Source organism: Homo sapiens, chromosome 2, assembly GCF_000001405.40.
Source record: "Homo sapiens chromosome 2, GRCh38.p14 Primary Assembly".
Taxonomy (NCBI): Eukaryota; Metazoa; Chordata; class Mammalia; order Primates; family Hominidae; genus Homo; species Homo sapiens.
Window position 1 is genome coordinate 151,868,163 of NC_000002.12, and position 16,866 is coordinate 151,885,028.

General features: G+C 41.3%; 1 protein-coding gene across 24 annotated transcripts in view, besides 1 other annotated feature; it reads right to left on the bottom strand.

Moving 5' to 3' along the window:
• CACNB4 (calcium voltage-gated channel auxiliary subunit beta 4) overlaps positions 1-16,866 on the bottom strand; it is a 266,397-nt gene that overhangs the window by 35,392 nt on the left and 214,139 nt on the right. For 10 of the 24 annotated variants that reach the window (NM_001145798.2, NM_000726.5, NM_001005746.4 and 7 more), the window contains 7 exons: positions 15,089-15,208; positions 12,638-12,760; positions 8,264-8,394; positions 4,255-4,331; positions 2,680-2,699; positions 2,369-2,449; positions 1,015-1,073 (listed from right to left, as the gene is read on the bottom strand). In NM_001145798.2, the coding sequence (NP_001139270.1) occupies positions 1,015-1,073; positions 2,369-2,449; positions 2,680-2,699; positions 4,255-4,331; positions 8,264-8,394; positions 12,638-12,760; positions 15,089-15,208 (611 nt within the window). Of the gene's footprint in view, positions 1-1,014; positions 1,574-2,368; positions 2,597-2,679; positions 2,700-4,254; positions 4,332-8,263; positions 8,395-12,637; positions 12,761-15,088; positions 15,209-16,866 lie in introns of those variants that run through there. The other 14 variants (XM_011511797.4, NM_001330113.2, NM_001330115.2 and 11 more) reach the window with 7 other exon arrangements.
• Positions 6,785-7,458: an enhancer, noted in NCBI's record as "OCT4-NANOG-H3K27ac-H3K4me1 hESC enhancer chr2:152731461-152732134 (GRCh37/hg19 assembly coordinates)". NCBI's record gives its function as "activates a minimal SCP1, AML or CMV promoter by ChIP-STARR-seq in naive H9 embryonic stem cells {active_cell/tissue: H9 hESC(naive)}" and the evidence as "EXISTENCE:reporter gene assay evidence [ECO:0000049][PMID:30033119]".

Consider the following 16,866-nt stretch of genomic DNA (forward strand, 5'->3'; position numbering starts at 1 on the left):
CCAATTTATTAAAATCTATCTGAAGTTTTTTTACATTTTAAAATTATTTTGTGCATTTAGTGGATTCTCATAATTTAGCAAAGAGAAAGTGAATGGCTTAATTACTGCCTTCAAAAATAAAGAATGTGATGTTTTTCTTCAATCCTACAGTAATAAACTGGATGCATTTGCCCATACTTTTTGATGCACCCCATTTAAATTTCCTACATTTCTGATAAATCTCAGGTTTTTTCATGTGGTTATTTTTACATGGACTGCATTCAGCACTGTGAAAGAGCTTAATATTTAGAATTGAGTCAATACAGGCTTTTTACCATTTCTCTGCAAAACAGAGAAACTTTCTTTAGAATTTTTCACAAAACTTAAATGATAAAATTATTTAATGGCTAATGCCTGAGCCATATTGTTGATGGATCATAGTAAAATACATTAAAAAAAGATCAATAAAATAACAAGGACATTTCTAATAAAAACAACCCACAACTATAATAAATATCCAAATAAGTACTATTCCCTACAAAATGATCACTTTGGGAGGCTTATGATTAAAATAATTCTCACTCTCTTCTTTTGAGGAAATTCAGTACTTGACATTTATGCTTTCATATGACACACACACACACACACACACACACACACACATACACAATTCCCAAATACTGCCTAGTTTGACCAGCAAGCCACTATACTCATGAGAAATATTATATATTTTAATTAATATTTTTTCATAAAAAACATTTTGGTATGAAATTATTAATAACTGAGAAAATAAAGATATATACATTTAAATAAAACAAATGGCTTATTTTTCTTCTCATGGTCCTTTCTTCACTGGGGACTCAATGTTATACTTCATATTTTCAGAGTTCTTTTATTATATTCTTCCCAAGAATACTGAGTTAACTTTTAACTAGAGAACTTCTGAAATCTCTGGAAACATAGATCTACAATTCAATTTATCACACAAGTTTGGTTAAAGGAAAATAAAAATACAAAAACATCTATATTTCTCACCTCCCATCAAACCTGTGCTTCAGGAAATCAAAGAGGGCTTTCTGCATCATGTCTGTTACCTTTGCAGAGGTGAGAAAAAAAGAATGAGGCAAACACATGCAGAGAGAGAGAGAGAAGTCAAAAGGGAGAGAGGAGGGAGGGAAGGGTACTATGAGCCAAGACCTTATTGTAGCCATTCGTCTCCTAGGGGGAGGTTACCATGGAAGGTGTTTTTCATGCTTAACCATGTGCAATTGCTAATTTCCACCCCCCTTGGTTCTCCTCCAGGGTGTTGAGGAATAAACCAGCAGTGTTCACCAGACCCTCTTCCCTCTTCCCTCTTCCCTCGTTAGGGGATAGAACTGCTGCCAGGAGACAACAGGCTGGCTTTGTACACAGGTGCCGGGTATCCTTGGCACGCCTGAGTTGTGCCTGCCTCCAGTGAGGAGCAGCTAGAGAACTGAGGCCAGCACTGGACTCAGCCTTCCTGCTAGTTTGTGTATGTTGGCGGAAATTCTCCATGCCCATGGCTGGATTTTTGTAGACCACTCTCCTGCTCATCCCTCTGACATTTCCAACTCTGAGAAAGACAAGAGAGAAAGAGAGGGGGATAGAGCCAGGATTCTTAGATCTGCCTGAAAGCGATTCATTAATTCATTCAGCAAATGTGTACTGAGTGCCTACTATGTGCCACACATTGTCCTAGCTCGATGGGAATGGTGCCCTGGAGGCTGCTCACCTTCAGAGTTTAATGTCACGTTCTACCTATTTTTTAATCCAAGCTAGCACAAAGTCAAAACAAACATCTGAAACGAAGTCTCTACTCTTTTCCTTGTCACATGGTTTTGTTTAATCTCCAAAGTTCACTAATGTTTTTAGTGGTCTTTTAAAACATGTGCCCTTTAAAATAAATAAGCAGAGAAGGATTTGGTGGCATATGCCATCATCTTAAAAACCCAGCAGGGTGAACTCTGTTTGGGCTTTAAAGGTTTGGGTTTGCTGGAAGATTGATTGTTTGTCCTCTTGTGCTGTTCATTCTCTATTACTTCTAATAATAATGAGAATGGTCAAGACAGATAAAGTCCTTTTCTTTGCATTTAATGTACAGCAAATCTTTGACCAGATCTTCCCATTGTGAATATTTTGAGGGAGGTATTTCTAAACAATGTAATACATAAAAGATGAGAAGTGTGCAAGAGAGGAAAGAAAGGGCAGAGGGCCTCATGAGCCCCACACGGTACCCCCTGCCTTCCCATGCTGAGCACTGGCTTCCATCAGGACCCACGTGGAAACAGACCCTTGAGGAGCAAGCGTCAACATGACTGTCTCCTGGGTGCTCGATCAAGAACTGAAGAGTAACAGATGATATTTGTACCTCGTAACCTTTCAGTGACGGCCCCACTAACACCACCGGACGCATTGACGGTACAACATCGTAAGGAGGAATGTGCTCCGTCTGAAAAAGATGATTCGACACGCGTGACAAGGTGAGGTTGAGCATGCCTCTCCACAGCCACAACATTCATAATTTCATAATTCTCAGGTTGAACGACAAATGATTATCAAAGTCCCCACCGAGGAGGCTCTTCCCTTATTTTATAGCCACTTGGGTCACTGAAATGGAGCATTGCAGGCATGTATATATAGGAACCTTAACAGTAGATTTAAAAAGGAAACACAACTTACCACTTTTTGCTTCTGTTTTGCTAAAAGACAATAACGAGAGCCATATCAAAATATGTAAACTCTGCAAATGACAGTACATGAGTTTAAAAGATGGAAGAATGTACCCATTTGTCCCTGTAATTATCTTCACCACCTTCCTATCGCCCACTTTGGAGAACCTGCCTTATGATTTCATTCTGGACACGTCAATTTTGAAGATGTATGAAAAACAGACAGCTTCCTCCCTGGTACAAATGACCTTATATCCTGATTTCTCACTGGGTGGGAATTGGGTACAGGAGTTGAGAGCAACACTGGAAGTTCCGGGCCAGCCAATCACCATGGGTTGTTCCCGTGCTGGACACAGCACAGTGTTGCTGGGAACAAGGTAGACAAATGCAATTTCATAAAAGGAAACAGAATAACCACTTGGGCAAAAATGACTATCACCTCAATCAATAGTTATTTTTATATTTGTTAACTCATAATTCTGCAGTCCCTTGGGCATTTTTGCCCATTTTCTAGAATATTGGCACATTTTTCCTACTATCTTGCTTCTAAATTTCAAATACATTTATAACCAGTTATTCCTCAGATAAATTTATAATGAGTTATTCCTGTTCTTTCCTGTTTGTAATAGCTAAAGTGTTCAATGTCCTGAATGTCCAACAAATGGGAACGAAGCAAAATATACTCAATAACTGATTTAAAGCGATTCTGTGGACATCCAAGCAGCTCCAGTCTAGTTGGGTACAACTCAGAAACCTGGTTTGGTTCAGTGTCCTGTAGATAAGAGGGCTTCACATGAACAAGGACCCAGACACTTAGAACCACTCCAGAACCAATCCAGTTGCCTCCAGTTTTGGTAGGCCAGAATAGGGCCTTGGACTTGCCATTCCAAATTGGTAATACAATTGGAATTGGTAACTAGGACACTGGATGCCCTAATGCAACAGCAGTTCTAGGCCAGAATGAAATTAGCCGATAGGAATCAGGGAATGTGGTAGAAGAAAAATTCCTACATGAATAACTCCATCGTTTCCAAATGTACCACAATTCCCTATTAGGCCACCAATATCTCTTCATTACCATTAATTCCAGGGCTTGGCTGTCTGCTGTCCAAATGTAAACGAGGCCCTCCCTCCTTTGGGCCCTGCCTTACTCTCTGCTTCAACCCTTCCAGCTCGGGCTGTACTAATACATCCTGAAATTCCACATGGAGACTGAAAACAGCATTTTCTTGAGAGTCTGCATCATTTTTTTCCTTTTTTTATTGGCCTTCACCATCTTAAACTCTGTCCGTTCCTTAGGTAAAATAATGAATTTTTTGAATATCAATTTACACAATGGACAGTTATTAACACTGAGGGGTAAATAAGATTTTTCAAAATTATATTCTAATGACATGAATTTTTAATACCATTTTAAATGAAATCAAATTACCATAGAAAACAAATGAGAAATGAAATATTAATTAGAGAATCTTTAAATTAAGCCTTCAAATTGTTTCCAAATTAGCAAAACTACTTGCATGTGTGTTCAAATATTTTTAAAAGGAATACAGTGTATGAAAAAGAGTTTAACTACAACCCTCACCTGTTGATGTGGGAGTTGCTCGGAATGTCCCAGATACCATTTCTCCAAGACTTGAAGAAGAATTTCCACTTGATTTCCTAGGATATAGAAAAGGAACTAAAGACTCACTCCCCAGATTCTTTGAAAATAGAACTTGAGAGTACAAAGCTTTCTTTGGCCCTCATCCTATTAAATAATTCAAAACACACCAAATTCTGCTATAAAGAATTTCAAGAATCTATCCAAATGTTTTCTTTGACCTCATTTCTAAGAGAATGTGGAGAACTAGCCGAGACCTGGAATACTCTGCAAAAGCATCTCTTCTAGTTACTCAGTGCGGAAATCAGACAAAACCATCACTGACGGGAATGGTCTTATGAACTGCTTGTTAACCTAACACCAGGCACCAATGTGCCAGTCAGATGTCAAACACAGCTCAAAACAAGCAGTTAGACCTGGAGAAACCATTTCTTCTTACAAGATGATTATGTGGGCATCAGAATTAAGAACTGATCGTAGGGAATTGGTCACGAAAAATATTATTTATTTAAATAGAAGATCCTCAACTCTGGTCTCCTCAGGTGTGCTCTGGAAGCTTCCCTGAAGCCCACAAATGCCGTCGGGAGCTGCCACCTTCCTACTTTTTGTCTTTGACAAAAAAGTTATATGGCCCATGACTGTAACAATTAAGAAATAATAATAACAATAAAACTTTGAAAATGATAATAATTCAGTTATTTTATTCAACAAATATGGATTGTACATCCCTGTTTTGGAAAGTAGAAATAAGACAGCGGCATTGGGGAGACAAAATCCTTTCCCTTATTGAGTCATATACTAGTAGGACATATCAGTACAGGTTGAATATCCCTTATCCAAAATGCCTGGGAGCAGAAATGTTTTGGATTTCCACTGTTTTCAGATTTCGGAAATTTGCACTATATACTTAGTTGAACATCCCTAATCCAAATGTCTGAAATCGAAAATGCTCTAATGAGCATCTCCTTTGAGCATCATGTCAGTCCTCAAAAAGTTTCAAATTTTGGAACATTCTGGATTTCAGCTTTTCAGATTATGGATGCTCAGCTTATACCAAACAAGATAGATAGGTAAATATATAATATTTCTGAGAGTAATAAGTGCAACAGAGAAAACTAAGTCAGGGAAGGGATGGGAAGTACAGGGAAGGGGAGTGGGTACAATTTTAAATACAATTGGCAGGAAAGGGGTCACTGAAAGGGTGATACCTAACAAAGATATAAAGCAGATGGAGTGGCCGGGTGTAAGTGTGAAGAAAAAGGTTCCAGTAAGAAAAAACAGCAAATGCAAAGACCCCAAGACAGGAACACATGCTCCCCATGTGTCTAAAAAGGGGCATGGAAGACAAAATTTTAGAAAAAAAGGGATAATATGGTTTGGATCTGTGTCCCCCGCAAATCTCATGTTGAGATGTAATCCCCAGTGATGGAGGTGGGGACTGGTGAGAGGTGACTGGACCACGGGGGCAGTCCCTCATGAATGGTTTGGCACCATCTCCTTGTGCTGTTCCTGTGACAATGAGTGAGTTATAGTGAGATCTGATTGTTTAAAAGTGTGTGGCACCTCCCCGTCTCTTCCTCCTGCTCCAGGCATGTAAGACACCTGCTCCCGCTTGGCCTTCTGCTACCAGTAAAATCTCCCTGAGACCTCCCCAGAAGCAGATGCTGCCATGCTTCCTTTACAGTCTACAGAACCATGACAATTAAAGCTCTTTTCCTCATAAGTTCTCCAATTTTATAGAAGTGTGAGAACAGGCCGGGCACAGTGGCTCACACCTGTAATCCCAACACTTTGGGAGTCCGAGGCGGGCAAATCACGAGGTCAAGAGTTCGAGACCAGCCTGACCAATATGATGAAACCCCACCTCTACCAAAAATACAAAAATTAGCCAGGCACGATGGTGCGTGCCTGTAACCCCAGCTACTCAGGAGGTTGAGTCAGGAGAATCGCTTGAACCTAGGAGGCAGAGGTTGCAGTGAGCCAAAATTGCGCCACTGCACTCCAGCCTGGGCGACAGAGCGAGACTCTAAGAAAAAAAAAAAAAAAGAAGAAGTATGAGAACAGACTAATACAAGGGACAAGAGGGATTAATATTAATAATAGTATTGGCAAGTTATATGCTAAAAAAGATTGGTAATTAAAAGTGGGGTAACTATACTTTTGTGATCTCCTATTACAGTTGGTGCGGTTCTTATTATGACAAAGGTAGGCGCCTAAAGAACACAGGAGTTTTTTGAAATAGAAAAGCATTCAACAGAAAACAGAGGTTGAGGGTCAAGAGAAAGAGCTGCTTCTATTTTAGAACTTTCAAAAAAGTGTAACATATCAAATCAATGCTTCAGTGCAGGCTGCGACACAATACATGCAGACTCAGGATGATTTGGTTTCTCTTCTGTCAAGCTGTGCTTGTGTTCCTGGGACCTTTAAATACCTGCACTCTGAGATCTACATGCCTACTTCAGTAGCTCACTAGAGGTTGATTCACCTGAAGCTGTCTTCACCCAAATACCAGGAGACAAGAGATGCCACAAAAAGCCTGGGGTGGAGAAGGTACTATCAGTGCCGGGACCTGCACATACCATCACATTTTTTTTTTTTATTGATCATTCTTGGGTGTTTCTCGCAGAGGGGGATTTGGCAGGGTCACAGGACAATAGTGGAGGGAAGGTCAGCAGATAAACAAGTGAACAAAGGTCTCTGGTTTTCCTAGGCAGAGTGTGTGTGTCCCTGGGTACTTGAGATTAGGGAGTGGTGATGACTCTTAACGAGCATGCTGCCTTCAAGCATCTGTTTAACAAAGCACATCTTGCACCGCCCTTAATCCATTTAACCCTGAGTGGACACAGCACATGTTTCAGAGAGCACAGGGTTGGGGGTAAGGTCATAGATCAACAGGATCCCAAGGCAGAAGAATTTTTCTTAGTACAGAACAAAATGAAAAGTCTCCCATGTCTACTTCTTTCTACACAGACACAGCAACCATCCGATTTCTCAATCTTTTCCCCACCTTTCCCCCTTTTCTATTCCACAAAACCGCCATCGTCATCATGGCCCATTCTCAATGAGCTGTTGGGTACACCTCCCAGACGGGGTGGTGGCCGGGCAGAGGGGCTCCTCACTTCCCAGTAGGGGCGGCCGGGCAGAGGCGCCCCTCACCTCCCGGACGGGGCGGCTCGCCAGGCAGGGGGCTGACCCCTCCACCTCCCTCCCGGACGGGGCGGCTGGCCGGGTGGGGGGCTGACCCCCCCACCTCCCTCCCGGACGGGCGGCTGGCCGGGCAGAGGGGCTCCTCACTTCCCAGTAGGGGCGGCCGGGCAGAGGCACCCCTCACCTCCCGGACGGGGCGGCTGGCCGGGCAGGGGGCTGACCCCCCACCTCCCTCCCGGACGGGGCGTCTCGCCTGGCGGGGGGCTGACCCCCCCATCTCCCTCCCGGACGGGGCGGCTGGCCGGGCAGAGGGGCTCCTCACTTCCCAGTAGGGGCGGCCGGGCAGAGGCACCCCTCACCTCCCGGACGGGGCGGCTGGCCGGGCGGGGGGCTGACTCCCCCACCTCCCTCCCGGACGGGGCGGCTGGCCGGGCAGAGGGGCTCCTCACTTCCCAGTAGGGGCGATACCATCACATTTTGTGCCCACTTAAGGGAGAGTCTCTGTAAGCGAACCAAGAGGAGCCATACTGCTGGTTCAGGTCAGCTCCCACTCACTGTGTGGAGAAAGAATGCCCGAAGTGACTCTCCTAGAGGAAAGCTTGGGTTCCAAGGAGGGCTTGCTGAGGCCACAGAAAACAGTCTCTGCCATGGAATTCATATGGTCTCCAGTGGTGTTAGGCTTCAGCATGCACAGAGGATAGAGAACTATCTGAAACTCTTCTGTGTCAGTTTCAGAAACACTTTGCACACAGAAAAGTATCTTCTACTTTGAAAGTATACACCCTTGAAAATATCACCCAATTTTCTGACCAAAAAAAAGTGCATAGAAAAGATGGGAACGTACCCTCCGTGAAAACGTCCTCTTTTTTGTTCTTGCTGGATCCGTATGTTCTCCAATCTGAGTGGACTTGGAATGAAGCCAATTTCACAGCCCTCTTTCACCAGCCTTCCTATCCACCAATCATTGTTATATTTCTGGAATTCAGAAATAAAATTGCTATCAATAGTAATTCACTTATCTTCACGTTGTTTATTAATCTTAGGGGACAAGAAGAATAAAATGCTATTTATATGATATGATATGCTATATTTTATATAAACTATATTTTATATGTATATGTGTGTATACTATATTTTATATACTATACTATAGACTATATTTTATATGTATATGTGTGTATACTATATTTTATATACTATACTATATACTATATTTTATATAAACTATATTATACTATACATTTTATATAAACTATATTGTATATGTGTATATATCTATATATCTATACTATATTATACTATACATTTTATATAAACTATATTGTATATGTATATATGTATATATCTATATATACTATATTTATATAAACTATATTGTGTATGTATATATGTGTATATATACCTATACTATATATTAATATAAAGTATATTGTATATGTATGTGTGCATATATAGATCTATATATACACATAGATAGCTATATATACACATAGATATCTATATATACACATAGATATCTATATATACATATATATCTATATATACATACTATATATATATATATCTGAGGTAGATGCATAGACTAAAGCAGGGTTCTGCAAACTTTTTCTGTAAAGGTCCAAGTAGTAAATATTTCAGGCTTTGCAGACCACGTGGTCTCTGTTACAATTAGTTGAATCTGCTGTCCTTGTGTGAAAGCAGCCACAGACAAACATCAACAAGTGAGCATGGCTGTGTTTCAATAAAACTTTTCTTTACAAAAAAGAGAGTGGGTCAGACTGGACCTGTGGGCTATAGTTTGTGAATCCCTGGACTAATGTCTGGTCCTAACCTTTGGATTCTTTTGGTCTTTGTCAAGAAGCTCTAACCAATTCTTAAAGAACATATTTTATAAGGATAAATATGCACCAATGTAACTGGAACTCTGGAAGGCAAGACAGATATGTCTGAGATGAAATACATTTAATAGTCCATAATTTGTCAAAAGCTTTCAGTTAAAAATTCCACGATACTATCTGTGGTCTAATCTCACTGGGGAAGAGTCATGATCTTTCAAATATAGATTTGCAAATTAAGGTCCATCTTACTACTTGAAGAAAAAGATGCCTACACTTACAAAGTCTGAGCGTATTATATATTTGTATGTGAAATTTTGCAAATAACTTCCAAATGCTCTGAAGCCCAAGAGGAACTCCAGAATTTCCATTTAAGTTAAGTTCCATGACAAGCAAACTCAAGTCTATGAGAAGGCTTCAACCAGTGTGGGGTGAGAGTCTGTCAATGTGGGCTTATTTGGTGGATTGGCAAAATTGCATTTCTAATTATACATTTGCTGAATTATACAGCAGAAAGCAATTTAGTTCAAGCTCCCTGCCTCAAGGAAAGGTTTCAGCTAGGTCACTTCTACAAAATAGATACCAGCTCTATTGTTTAAACTCTCTGGAGATGATTCTAAAAACTTCCTTTACTGTTTTTATCAGTGTTGGGCAAGATAATTCTCTCCTATTTTGACCCAAAATATATATATTTATAAACATATACTTTTTTCAAAATGTAACAATGATATGTAGTATATTTTGCTGAGCTCATAGAAAAGCGAAATTTATATATATGTCTGTGTGTGTATATATATATATATGATTCTGATACATTATGAAGGAGGAATGGAAGGTTTCATTGAATAATCACACCATGAAGTTCTGGGTAAACTTTAAATTATTCTGAGTAACAGCTTCACACTCATGAGAAATATGTTCTGGTAAGAATTTGGCCTTTGTTATGCACACAGCTTCTCCATGCATACTATATGAGTGGCATAAAGTATGAGATTGCATTGAAATAAATGTAAATTGAGGGCTGGCCATGGTGGCACATTCCTGTAATCCCAGCACTTTTGGAGTCTGAGGTAAGAGGATCAGTTGAGGCCAGGAGTTTGAAATCAGCCAGGGTAACATAGCAAGACCCTGTCTACACACACACACACACACACACACACACACAGTTAGCTGGGTATAGTAGTGCACCTGTAGTCCTAGTGTACTACACAATACTACACCATTAGCTAGCTATACAATTAGTGTAGTGTACTACACAATTAGCTAGTATAGTAGTGTACTACTAATTACCTAGTGTACTACACAATTAGCTAGTGTAGTGCACTATACTAGACTACACAATTAGCTGGGTGTAGTAGTGCACCTGTAGTCCTAGCTACTTGGGAGGCTGAGGCTGAGGTGGGAGGATCACTTGAGCCCAGGAGTTCAAGACAGCAGTGAGCTGTGATTGCATCACTGCACTCCAGCCTGGAAAACAGAGCGAGAACCTGTCTCCAAAAAAATAAAAAAGAAAAGAAAAGAAAAAAATGTGAATTGACCTGATATAAAACCTTGAACAATCTAGGTCTTAGTTGTTTTTCCCCACTTTCCTGTCTTTTAGTATAACAGGCCTAAAATAATAGGTCTGTTTATTTTGGAATTAACAAAGGGCAAAGGGACCCTTTTAGAATCTTGGGTGCATAGGTCTGGAATTTAAATTTTACTGTGTTGAGGACAAAACAGACCATGAGTCATAGTTTCCTAGGGCTTAAGTTACTTCCTGAAATGAAGTGGCATAGCCCACTGGAACACTCATTTGTTAAATGGCACCCAAATGACTTTAAAGGGCTTGCTGAAATGGTTAATTCAACTTCCCAAAATGTTTTAACTTAGTTCTAGGAAACAGCGAAAGCACAGTGAGAATCTGACTCAGGAGGAATGAATTTTTTGAGTTACTAGGGAGAAAGTCACTATGTAAAATCAAGAGCTTAATTTGATCATCATTTGGCTTATGTGACAAGCATAGTTGTAGCTTTTCTCTGCATTTAAGCTTTTTTTTTTTTATTATTGAGAAACTACTTAACATGGTGCATAATAGATGGCCTTCTAAGTGATGGATGAGAGGGAAGGCTATAACTTGATTATAGAAATGTATTCATTTGTGTTGATGTTCTGGGAACTTGTGCCAGCTCTCTACAGAGGTCACCTCGGTGTTGTTCCAACCCTTCTCTATTTGGATTTCCCTAAAATGATTAGCACTTTCTATATCAAAGATGTTTTCTTATCTGATAATTTCAAGACATGAAAACAAGAGGCTCTGGTCCACATAAGATTACCAGCTCAATGTCACATCAAACTGCCAGACTGAAGAGAAAATCACTGATCAACAAGCACATAGCTCAAACAGCAGCCAGGACAAATTGAGACCTTGATACAATGCAGGAAAGCAATCAAATACAAGGTTGGAATGTTGGTGTGAGTGAGTGTGCATGTCACATGTAAGAACATCTCTTACCTTTTCAAGTGGTGCTTCTCCTTGGACACAGTGGGTATTAGCAACTAATGAATATGGCTTGGGCATTTTTGATGGAAATGGTGAGACATAATCAACTTAACCATTCAGATGCCAGGGCACATGTTTCAGGTCAAGAGTTCTTGTCTTCTAGACAAATGTAGACATCCTCACCTCATATACCATCAAGAAAGTAGAGGCCATGGTTGAAGTTGATGGGTCCTCAGTTTCCTATTCCCAAGGCCCTGAAGTGTCTGTGCCTGCACTCATCTTTTCCCTGCATGTCACAATGAATTAGCATTCTTCTTTCTATCAAAGGTCTGTCCCTCCACTAGGGGTCTTGGATCCCACCCTTCTTGGCTACTCAAACACTTTACCCTTTTGCCTTTCTGTTTCCCAGAGCCCTCTGCCCTTTTCTTAGCTGTAAATCTTTCTTTGAATGATTATACACTCTAGTGTTGGTTCCATAGTCAAGGTGCACAGCACTATAGTCTACATGTCTATAATTACAACATCCCCTGTAAACAGTCCCTTCTGGGTAGGTGCCATGACACCAAACTTACATTTTCCAAAGTTGGATCCATATATTTATGGCTCTGCAGTCACAGAAGGGGATTTAAAGGTGCCCAGAGGACCATAGAGGTCTGTCAGAAATCTATGCTATAATTTTAAGGTTGACTGTGATTTAATGTTGTCAGTGTGTGATAATGCAAGCAATGATCTCAGACTTCTCAATCTTAATGAGAATGACTAGATTTGGGAGGCTCAGCAAATTAAATCATGTACTGCACTGGCAGCTCCTTGGGTCTCCTCTCTGGCTAGTTTGGCTCAGAGCTGATTCCTGGCTTCAGCTTTTTGGCAGGTGAAGGGATGCAGTATGTTCTACATTTACCTCTTTAATATGTAGAAAGTCTTTAGCATCAAAGGAGATAGCTGTGCTTGGAACAGGCACATCCTCGTCCAGGGCGCCGCAGTAGCTCACATTTGTCTTCACGGCAAATGCTACAGGTTTGGACTAGGGACAGAACCATGGAATAAGGAATGAGGAAGGGAGGAGAGAGGAGCATTTTTCATATTGAAACTCTGATAGTACCAGGTAGTGAGAAATAACTTTCCAAAGAGGGATCTCAAATGAGTTTTACATTCTCAAGCAATATCAAGAAACCTGCAGAGATGACTCTGAAAATGATTGGTCCTATCAGCCCAACCATTTTTCCTTTCCTGCAATACTTTCCAATATTCCAAATTTTAAAATGTGCTCTAAAGTATTAAGAGGGATAGACAAAGGCAGGGGAGGACAGTCTCTTCTCTAATCTTAAAATCTGTGTTTATTTTAAATGATAACCAATAGCTTCTTAACTTGGAATACAGGAAATGTGTGCAAGGTCTTTTTAAAAAGAAAAAAAAAAAGGTGGGAAGAGGATAAAATAGTATTTTTTAAATAGTCCAGATCTGAAAACGTGTGGGATTCTATACAACAGAATATCTGGTCCTGCCGGGGAAAAGAAGGGTTAGTCAGCGTCAAAGCTGATGGGCAGGGCTCTTCACAGATCACCTTCTCTCTAGCTAACGAAGCTGGTTTTGAAACTCTTTTTACACAAATGCCTCTCAGCAAAGTGCTCTCAGGCTGGCACAGCACTGTGGGGACACGTAAACCACCAGCCTAAGCAAACGGTGCTGCCACCCAAATTCGGGTGACCACACTGGTCACAAAACAGATTCTGAAAGAAAATTTTGTAACAAAAATTAGCCACAGTGAGACACAAGATTCCTGATATTCTGAGCTGCTTTGTTACCAGCTTATGTATTTGTGCTGGGAATCTGACTGGGGAACAGCAGTTAAGGCTGAAACCTCACTGATGTCCCTTCACATGTACTGCAAGAAAAGCCCCTTCCACCAACAGAGTACAGACATCATAGGTGTTGAGGCAAATGAAGACACCTAATTTGACTGCATCATTCTCCTCCCATCTTTTTTTTTTTTTTTTTTTGAGACGGAGTCTCACCCTGTTGCCCAGGCTGGAATGCAATGGTGTGATCTCGGCTGACTGCAACCTCTGCCTCCTGGGTTCAAGTGATTCTCTTGCCTCTGCCTCCCGAGTAGCTGGGATTACAGGTGCACACCACCACGCCCAGCTATTTTTTGTATATTTAGTAGAGGTGGGGTTTCACCATGTTGGCCAGGCTGGTCTCTAACTCCTGACCTCATGATCTGCCCGCCTCGGCCTCCCAAAGTGCTGGGATTACAGGCGTAAGCCACTGCACCGGCCCCTCTTTTTTTTTTTTTTTTTTTTTTTTTTTGGTAGGGTTTTGCTCTGTTGCCCAGGCTGGAGTGCACTGGTGTGATCTCAGTTCACTGCAGCCTTTATTTCCTGGGCCTAGGTGATCCTCCTACCTTAGCTTCCCAAGTAGCTGGAATTACAGATGTGAGCCACCATGCACAGCCTCTCACCTCTAAATATTTTACAATAAAAATAGAAAAGGGAAGGAATTCACTTTATTTGGGCTTCTGTTTTTTCTTCTTCTAAAAATCAGAAGACTGAACCAATATACCTTAGGAGTCTGTCACGTAGGGCAAAGAGGACAGGCCGGCCATGACCTTGTCTTGTATTTTGCTATTGTGCATAAAATTTCATTGGACAAAAAGGGTCGTGCTTCAAAAAATCAAAAAGCAAACAAACAAACAAAACAAAGTTGGAAGCACATGGAATGGGAGATCCCTAGTGACTCTTCTGGTTCTAACTTTCAACCATGCAGTTGGCTCCTTGCTGCTTCCTGTGGATGCAGCGATTTCTATGGAGGCCTCTTCTTGTGGAATATCTGAAGGTCTATTTTGGCAATGGCCTTTATTGCTTGTCTTTGCTGCACTTCTCAGAGTTGTTCAAAGTCCTGAACTTCACACTGAACTTGAGGTGGGATACTGAAAGCGAGAGAGAAGAGTAGAGAAACAAACAGGGCGATCCACAGAACAACAGCACACGTGTGGCCTGTAATAAAGGCTGAAGTAATGGATGAGGAGGGGCCAGGAATAGGCAGGGCCAGCTGGTGCCTGGGGGGCTGTCTGCCAACACTGGGCATGGGAGGTTTGATATTGCTAAGTTGGAAGACGACCAATAATTCACCACCAAACCAAATACAAAAAGGTGAAGGTTCTGAGGAAATGCCTCTTTGGAGATGTTACTAACCTCACTTAGAGGTGAAAGGATCAGAGAGCTTCCCAATCTGGAGCCTTGTTAGAATAATCACAAAATGATTATTCCAGAAATGTGAGGTAAGGGAAGAGCAGCTGGTAGCCACTGAGCAACGACCCACTTTTGAGCCAAAGAGAAGGAAAGAGACTCACCTTTGCTCTCTCAAGCTGGATAGCTGCTTGCTGTTCTCTCTCCTGTCGAATTGCTTCCCGGTCCTCTTCCAAAGAGACATCGGAGTCAGACGGCCTGCTTGTGTAGGAATCCGCTGAACCCTGGCAAAGAAAATAGAATAGTTTCAGATGATGTGTAGCTTCTTAAATTGTCACATCCATAACAGTATCCTGGGGCGAGTTCTTTTTCATTTGCCTAAAATTTGATGCACACACTCCATGCCTTATTGCAGATATAAATTTAGATGGCAGAATATAGTTAAGCATCTGAGTTATTCGGAAAGTAGCAATGTTGTGAAGAAAAATATTTTGACTAGATTAAGTGCTAGGAAGTAAACTGCAATGAAAATTATGTGATACTCAGCACCAATTCTTCTTGTTTTGTGCTATATTAAGCCCATATCACTTGTGAAACGTTAGTTTTCATCCATCTTCTCTTTTGCATATACATCTAAAGGAAAAAGAGACTCAGCTTATTACAAAAGATAAATCCTACCTGTATTTGGGCTATGGGTCATCTATTTGTCTAAGATTTCAATATAGTAAAGCATCATCTTACATTAGTAAAATGATTTTCCAGTTTCAATGTCAACACTATTGAACTCTTTCACTACTAAAACTTCAATCATTGTCCTGCAGCAGCCCAGACGTGGTCAACAAGAACACTGAGCAGAAAAACAACCTTGAGGATGAAAACAGGGATGTTCTCAGTTGAAGCCCACACTAGAAGAGCTATTTAAACAGCACTGAAGGCTGGGCACGGTGGCTCACGCCTGTAATCCCAGCACTTTGGGAGGCCAAGGTGGGTGGATCACCAGGTCAGGAGTTTGAGACCAGCCTGGCTGACATGGTGAAACCCCATCTCTACTAAAAATACAAAAATTAGCCGGGCATGGTGGGGGGCGCCTGTAATCCCAGCTACTCGGGAGGCTGAGGCAGGAGAATCGTTTGAACCCGGGAGGCAGAGGTTGCAGTGAGCCGAGATGGCACCATTGCACTCCAGCCTGGATGACACAGCAAGACTCCATCTCAAAAAAAAAATAAAATAAAATAAAAATAAAAAAATTAAAAAAGGCCAGGCGCAGTGGCTCACGCCTGTAATCTCAGCACTTTGGGAGGCCGAGGTGGGAGGATCACGAGGTCAGGAGTTCGACACCAGCCTGGCTAACATGGTGAAATCCCGTCTCTACTAAAAATACAAAAAAAAAAAAAAAAATTAGCCAGGCGTGGTGGCGGGCGCCTGTAGTCCCCAGCTACTCAGGAGGCTGAGGCAGGAGAATGGCGTGAACCCCGGAGGCGGAGCTTGCAGTGAGCTGAGATTGCACCACTGCACTCCAGCCTGGGCGACACAGCGAGACTCCGTCTCAAAAAAAAAAAAAAAAAAAAAAAAAGTTCTGAAATCCAGTCTGACTGATGTGGCGAAGTTAAAAAGTCAACCCCTTCCTTGCCTCCCCCACCGCAAAAAACCCTGGAGGTTTGTCTTATGGCTGCTACAGGAACATCATCCTTACAGTTTCCTTAAGCTGGCATTAAAAGTTGATATTTGCATAGATGGTAACATTTACACAGCAGAGGTATTGGGAGGACTGGTGTATTTGATTATGTTTCATAAATCATGCACAGGTTTTGAAAAACATAGACCTATCCATATAGCTGAGAATCTGCTGTCCACTGAGTGGGGGAAAAAGCTTTAAGAAATAGTTGACTGCTGAATCTGGTCCTTTGAAAGTTTTTCTACATGTAGAAATGTTGACTTGTGA